Genomic DNA, 8,380 nt, shown 5'->3' with positions numbered 1-8,380 from the left:
TCTTGCATCGTGACCTGGATGTGAGGCACGGAGTCAAAGGAGATCATTTTGGAGCTTTGACTGCCCTGCTGGATTTTGGACTTGCATGGGCCCTGTATCCCCTGTATTTTGAGCAATTTATCCCATTTGAAATGGCTGTATTTACCCAATGCCTTACCCCCATTGTATCTGGGAAGCAACTAGCTTGCTTTTGATTTTACAGGCTCATAAGTGGAAGAGACTTGCGTTGTTTCAAATGGGACTTTGGACTGTGGACTTTTGGCTTAATGCTGAAATGAGTTAAGACTTTGTGGTGCTGTTGGGAAGGCATGATTGGTGTTGAAATGTGAGGGCATGAGATTTGGCAGGGTCAGGGGCAGAATGATATGATTTTGCTGTGTCCCCACCCAAATCTCAACTTTAATTTTATCTCCCAGAATTCCCACGTGTGGAAGGGACCCAGGGGGAGAGAATTGAATCATGTGGGCCAGTCTTTCCTGTGCTATTCTCATGATAGTGAATAAGTCTCACAAGATCTGATGGTTTTATCAGGGGTTTCTGCTTTTGCTTCTTCCTCATTTTTCTCTTGCTGCTGCCATGTAAGAGGTGCCTTTCTCCTCCTGGCCTGATTCTGAGGCTTCCCAGCCATGTAGAACTGTAAGTCCAATTAAACCTCTTTTTGTTCTTAGTTTTGGGTATGTCTATATCAGCAGCATAAAAACTAATAAAACCGTATAATTGAATGTCCAAGTCAGAAAACATTTGAAAGTGAAAGGGGTCTCTATTAATGTTTGTCTTGGGAGAACAAGCATAAACTGGAGCTGTGCCAGGCAAACTATAACTTTTCAACCTGCGTGTTGCTTCTGTATCTCATCAGTGATCAACTCAAACTGAGCACAGTCTCCACCAATGCTTATAAATTAATTAACCAATCAGTGAGAATAATTTGTAAATTAGCTTTCTCTAACAGCAGTGGCCTGTGTTTTTGTGAGCCTCCTATTGAGGAATAGCCTTAGGCAAAACTGATGTAGGAAACTTAGGTTGCACATCCCTTCAGTAATTTGTTAGTGTTCTATTCAATTCAAATTGAATTGGCTGCCTCAAATGCCCAGAGTTGATGCTTTACAGTTGTTATTTTCCTCTTTTCTTATCTTTGAACAGAGAAAAGTACCTGTTCTAAAGAAGTTGGCATAACTGGATCTTCCCATTCCAGTGGAACACTGGGAAAGATGGGGAAGATAAGTCCAAAGAGATATGCAAATTTATCCACCGTCTAAATGTTTGAAGACCCCAACCCCTCCCATATCTTTTAATTTTACCATTTGTTTGCAAATTCATATGATGGCTGAAGGTAATTCTTGGGGTCTTGGGAAAATCTCACAAGAAAACACTGTGATTTTGCCATCTCTCTTCAGATTTATCTTAAAATACCTAATAGAAATCTATTGCCTTCTCTGCCCCAAATAAAACCACTCCCCACAAGCTAACCCCCTTTTTTTTAATTATGATTCTCACAACCTCTACTCTTATCATCCTCACTATATTTTTCCTCATTCCTCAAGTCGGCCCTAATCTTAACATTCTTCAAAGGCCTCTGATCACTATCAGTAGCAAGTTCGAACTCCTTATCAAGGCACATAAGGACCTTCATTCTCTGGCTCTTGACACCTTCTACAGCTCCCACTTCGGGGAGTGCTATTCCGTTAAATATCTTCAGTAGCTCCATCTAATATTGTTAATTCCATCCCTTAATGCTTAATTTAAAATCTACACTGCACTGTATGCATGGATAAAGTGGGTTGTATTGTTCATGGATGAGTTTATGTACTTACACGTCTCTCTGACTAGATTAAAACGTCTTCAAGAGGAACAAGTTACGTATTTCAAAATGTTAAGCACAGAGGGAAAAGTCAAAATATAAGGAAGTGGTGACTGAATAGAAAGCCATTTAGTTAGACATCTTTGGTGTTTCTATCCTCTTGAGGTTGTCTTAAATCCATCCCTTTTCACACTCTTTGACAATCCCTGACCGAATCTACTTATTTTATGTGAAGCAGTATAGAACAGTGGTTAAGAGTTTGGACTCTGGAGCCAGGGTGTGTGTCGTCTTTAGAATAGTAGCTCCATCACTTCCTACCTGGGTCATTTTAGCAAGTTATTCAACCTTTCTGAGCCTAAATTTCCTCATCTACAGAATGGAGATAATGAACACAAGAATGCAACACCCTCATAACGTTCCTGGAAGTATTAAATGACTTGCCATCTAAGTGTGAATGCTTATAACAATGAACAACACATAGCCAACAGTATCCAAGTGTTATTTGTGAATACACTGAAGACACTCAATTCTCTACCTCCTGAAAATCTCCTCTTCTGAATTCCAGATACATCCATCTACCTGCTTTCGTCATGTGGATATTTCCTAATTACTCAAATATGTCCAAAATTGACCTCTATATTTTTACCTCCAAACTTATTGCTCCTCCTGTGTTTTATATTTTAGTATCACCATGGCCTAGGTACCTGCCTTAGTCATTTGGGGCTGCTATAAGAAAATACCTTAGACCGGGAAACTTATAAACAACAGGAATGTATTTCTTACAGTTCAGGAGGAGGCTGGGAAGTCCAAGATCAAGGCATCAGCAGATTCAGCATCTGTTTAGGGTTCATTGCTAATGGACAGTGCCTTCTAGTTGTTTCCCCTCATGACAGAAGGCAAAAAGGCTCCCTCCAGTCTTTTTGATAAGGGTGATAATCACATTCATGAGGGCAGAGTCCTTATGACTTAATCACTTCTCACAGGTCCCACTGCTTAATATCATCACCTTGGGGGTTAGGTTTCAACATATGAATTCTGGGGAGACACATACATTCAGACCACAGCAGTACCCAAACCATAAATATGAAAATCATACTCACATTTCCTTTCCTTTAAACTTATACATTCTACAATTCAACTAGTGTTACCAGCTTCATATCATTTTTTTTTAATCTGCTTTCTCTACTTCAAGATAAGCTCTTTGAGCAAAAACCCTTTCCAAAGTAAAACCTATGCAGACAGTCTTTTATTTTTCCACCATCACAGATTATCTTTATTCTGTAATAGCAGTAAATCTCCTTTGAGGGTAAGCAGAGATGACTGAAAAAACTCAAAATTCATGTCTTTCTTTTCTCTCTCACACACAATAAAAAGTGCAATGCCTTCCTAAAACAGTTGATTTTCTTGAGTCACCATATTGCTTCCCATCAATCATGCTAAGTCTATTCATTTCATTGGTCACTAATCAGTCAAAAGCAATAGAAAAGTCAAAGGAGATAGGAAAATAGCATGCCAAATATTTATTGTAATATATAGTGCCACTTTACCCATCTTTTCCTGAGTTTAGGTGGACAAGTCTCGGCAGAAGATTATCTTCCTCATTACTGTTACCAAATGTGAAGGGTTTGAATCAAGTTTTCATATATGTTGAAGCCACTGCTTGAACTTCAAGGCCTTTGTAAGTGAGAACAGTTTTTTTGTTTCGAGGGCATCAGGCCTATTTTGTCCTTTTATTAGATGTATCTAACATTCTTTGTTTCTTTTCTTTTTCACTTTGAGGAAGATGGGAGCAGGGTAGTGTTTTTGAGTGATAAATTCATGTCTTGTTAAAGTGCAGGTCAAATATGTATAAACACGTACACCACCTACAGACATTACCATATTAGCAGACCTTATATTTGTCCCTCTTTATTCTCCTATCCATCATTTACCCTTTAGCTATAGAGGAAATGAACGCCCAATGCAAAGGCACAAGATCTTTCATGTTAAGTAAATATGTTCCAAAGAAATAGAAAAATTATTTTGTTCATTGTTCCTCTGAGAAAGTTCAGATTGCGTATAGGTATGTAAAAGACATTAATGGTATAGTGATATTTTTCTTCTTCTGTGTATGTGGGAGGAAAAGAAGAATGTTCAGTAAGAACAATTTTGAAGTATTTTACTCTGGTATCAATGTGTGAAATGACTTAGCGATTCAAGCCAATCCTTTTTTCATCTACTGCTGTTATTAATATGTTATATTTGCATGTAAAAATTGATTTGCAGCTTAGCTAACTTTTTTTAATGTCTGATGGCATATACAACACATTTTTCTAAAAGTCATCCATATTGCCATTGCAACAATCAAATCTTAATTCTATGGAGGTGTTATTTATAATTCTTTATATTCTGGCCATTAAAATGACTTTGCCATTACATTAATAAAAGCATGAAATAATTGACACTATACTAGACAAGGTAGGGAGGTGTTTACAGAGAAATACAAAATAAATAAAAGATTTCCTGTAATGCAATAACAATTAGTTGGGTAGACAAAAGGAAATATATCCATGTGGAAAAAAATGTTTGCAAATCAACATAACAAGTAGACATCAATTTAATGTTAGAAATTTTGTTGACTTAATATTTCTGTACTAATTCTCTAAATGTAAGAACATGTTACGATTTTTGAGATGTTGCATTTAAACATTTATACGACTATTTTGAATTTTATTGTAACAAATAGATCTTAAATCTTAACTCTAGCTCACTTTATGTCTTAGCTCAGTCCTCTGACACATTATCATAGACTTGGTGGCTTATAAACAGCAGAAACTTATTCCACAAATTTCTGGAAGCTTGAAGTCCTAGATCCAAGTGCCAGCATGATTGGTTTCTGGCGAGAACTCTCTTCTGGGTTGCAGAGTGCCTAGTTCTTGCTGAGTCCTCACAAGGCAAAAGAGAGAAAGCAAGTTCTCTTGAGAGTCTTCTAACAATACTAATCCCCTCCGCGAGGGCTCCACCTTCAGGTCCTCATCTAATCCTAATTACCTCCCAAAGACCCCACCTACTCATACCCTCACATTAGGAGATAGGGTTTTAAGATATGAACTTTGGAGAGAGAAAAGCATTCAGTCCATAGCACTTTATCAGCAACTCTATATTGAGTGCCAATTATGCATGACACACTGTATTAGGTAGGTCCCTGCCCTCAAAAGAGTTTATAATATAGAAAAAAACTCACTGTAACCCTAATTTTATCAGAAACTATTATAAAACACTGGATCTCAACCTTGGCTATATGTTAAAATCACCACGGGAACTGATGCTAAGATCCCTCTCCCAGAGATTCTGGCTCAGTTGGTCTCAGGTATGGTCTGGGCATTGAAATTTTTAAAGATCACTACAATATTTCTAATGTATAGCCTAAATTAAGAACCATTGCTACAATCCTATGGAGAAAATTTACCTTCATCTGAAGTAATCATAGAAAGCTTCTCAGAGGTGGAGGATTGTCCATTGACAACGAATCAAACTGGATTTAAAGTTGAAAGGTGTCAGAGATCTTGACACATCAGAAACAAGGACAATTAGGCAAAGAACAATATGAAAGCAAGAAAGTCCAAGTTATATTTGTTGATCAATGAGTAGAACTGCATAGATTACAGAAACAAAAGTAAATGTGAAGCTAAAACAATTATTCCAATGACCATGTATGTGCTATAATATTTCTTCTGATAGTCACCTTTACCTCTGCAGATACGAGTAATATGTTATTCAAACTTTAGCATGGTACCTATATGATAGACTACATAGATGGCCATAATCATTCCCTTTTACCTGTAACTGCTCCATTTCCCAAGTCCTACCATTAAAAATTCAGAGTCTCTTATTTCTTCTCTTTAATCTTTTGAATTTCTTTGGCCAATAAAATGCAGTGGGAGTCAGGAGAGGCAAGATACAAGCCCAGACTTCAAAAGTCTTTGAGTACTTGCAGTCTCTGTTTCTCTTTTGGAACCCTGTCCAGCGACAATATATGAAAACCAAAATAACCTGCTAAAAAAATGATAAAGCATATTAAGCAGAGACATGACATCCCACTTGAGGCCTTTCTAGACCAGCTAGCTTCCAGCTGACTTGGCAGTTAATCATGACTATATAAACAAGCCCGCCCAAAACTAGAAGAGCCACCCAAACCCAGTTGAAACTGCCACCCTATAGAACTGTATTCTAAAGAGATGGTTTCTATTTAATTGACTAAAATTTAGGGTCATTTGTTTTACACAAATGCTAACTGATATAATCTCACTTTCCCAGCTACGACATCTGATCCAAGGGGTACACCAAGCTGGTCAGTATGACTTCTTACTCATAACATTTTCCACTGGAATGAAAGAGACACACTCTACCTTAGGCTACCACACTGGTAGTGTGACCGGAATTGGTGGGTTCTCCAACTTGCTGACTTCAACAATGAAGCCGCAGACCCTCACGGTGAGTGTTACAGTTCTTAAACATAGTGTGTCGGGAGTTTGTTCCTTCAGATGTTTAGATGTGTCCAGAGTTTCTTCCTTCTGGTGGGCTCGTGGTCTAGCCGGCTTCAGGAGTGAAGCTGCAGACCTTGGCAGTGAGTGTTACAGCTCACAAAGTCGGCGCAGACCCAAGAGTGAGCAGCAACAAGATTTATTGCTAACAGCCAAAGAACAACACTTACACAGCAAGTAAAGACATCTGAGCCGGTCCTGTCAGTTGGCTTGGGTGGACTGCTTTTATTCCCCTCTCTGACCACCCCCCCCCCCCCCGCCCCCGCCAATAGGTACATTTTACAGACAGCTGATTGGTCCATTTTACAGAGCACTGATTGGTCTGTTTTGACAGAGTGCTGATTGGTGCATTTACAAACTTTTAGCTAGACGCAGAGTGCTGATTGGTGCATTTACAATCCTTTAGCTAGACATAAAAGTTCTCCAAGTCCACACCCTTTGCCTAGTGGAGCCCATGCCTGGGCGGCCAGTGGAGCTGCCCGCTATGCTAGAACTCCTTAGCCTTTGGGCAGTCAATGGGCTGGGGCGGAGCAGGGGGCAGTGCCCGTCTGGGAGGATCAGGCCGCATGGGAGCCCAAGGAAGGGTGCTCCCGCATGGCTGGCTGCAAGTCCCAAGCAGGTCCCCAGCCCTGCCCTGTGGGGAGGCAGCTGAAGCCCTGTGAGAATTCGAGCATGGCATGGGCAGGCCGGCAGTGCTGGAGGACCCAGCGCACCCTCCACAGCTGCTGGCCCGGGTGCTAAGCGCCTCACTCCCTGGGCCGCCAGCAGGGGGCCGCTCAGCCCGCGAGCACCCGGAACTCACGCTGGCCTGGGAGCGCTGCACGCAGCCCCAGTTCCCGCCCGCGCCTCTTCCTCCACACCTCCCCGCAAGCAGAGGGAGCCAGCTCCGTCCTCGGCCAGTCCAGAGAGTGGCTCCCAGAGGCCAGTGGCGGGATGAAGGGCCCCTCAAACGCAGCCAGAGTGGACGACGAGGCCTTGGAGTCATGGAGAGTGAGCGAGGGCTGCTAGCACGTTATCACCTAGCAAGTTGTCACCTCTCAGCAGCATATGAGTACAAAAGTTTCTAAACCCATGTGTCCTATGCCATGGAAAACCATCTGCAAGAAAAAATTAATGAAACTTCAATACAAAGAAGTAATAACAAGACCCTGCAAGAGTGAGTAGGTCTTTTTTGACAGTCTAACCATCCATGATTCAAAGTTTGCTTAAGACCAGGGCCACCTTGACTGCTTAGTGGAGTTTTGTTCTAAATCAGAAAATTCCTCTGTTCGATTTAAACTAGTTCTTGTTGGGGTTCTGTTACTTGCAATTGAAAATGCCCTTACCCAAACTGTTTAGCCAGTCAGGAGGAAACAAAATCAAAAGTGGATGAAATAGTAGTCACCATTCAATACAGCTGTTCAAGCAATACACTTTTGTTTAGGATCCAGTAAGTTAGGTCAGAAAATGGGAATGTCATCTTATCCTTGAAGGTTTTGTATTCTAGTACAGAAGACAGACTGGCATACTTACAATTAAAGCAATCAGGGAACAAAATATGTAGGAAGGCTACCTAACCTAACAGGAACAAGGTAAGATCTCAGTGTTTTAGCTTTGAGAGGAAAACATGGCTCAATTCAAATGAAGAGATTGAAGAAAGCATTCTAGTTAAGAAATCAAGACATGCTCACTCCTGTAATCCCAGTACTTTGGGTGGCCGAGGCGGGCGGATCATTTGAGGCCAAGAGTTCAAGACCAGCCTGGCCAGTATGGCAAAACCCCGTGTCTACAAAAAACACACAAAAAATTAGCCAGGCGTGGTGGCACATTCCTGTAATTCCAGCTACTTAGGAGGCTGAGGCAGGAAAATTGCTGGAACCCGGGAGGCAGAGGTTGCAGTGAGCCGAAATCAGGCCACTGTAATCCAGCCCTGGGTGACAGAGCAAGACTTAAAAAGACAGAGCAAGTCTTAAAAAGAAAAAAAAAGCAGAAATCATTACACAGTTCTATCTCCATCAAAGTATATACTTAATTGGGTTGCTAATACTCCCACACCTGCAAGGTTGTTTTTAAAAAAATA

General features: G+C 40.7%; 1 long non-coding RNA gene across 1 annotated transcript; it reads right to left on the bottom strand.

Moving 5' to 3' along the window:
- Positions 1–4,376: 4,376 nt before the first annotated feature.
- On the bottom strand, positions 4,377–5,342 carry LOC124901180 (uncharacterized). Its single transcript, XR_007059130.1, has 2 exons — positions 5,247–5,342; positions 4,377–4,723 (listed from the first exon to the last, which is right to left on the bottom strand). It is a non-coding gene; the product is annotated as an uncharacterized LOC124901180 (long non-coding RNA).
- Positions 5,343–8,380: the final 3,038 nt, after the last annotated feature.

Source organism: Homo sapiens, chromosome 5, assembly GCF_000001405.40.
Source record: "Homo sapiens chromosome 5, GRCh38.p14 Primary Assembly".
NCBI lineage: Eukaryota > Metazoa > Chordata > Mammalia > Primates > Hominidae > Homo > Homo sapiens.
This window is presented reverse-complemented; position numbering and strand designations above follow the sequence as displayed.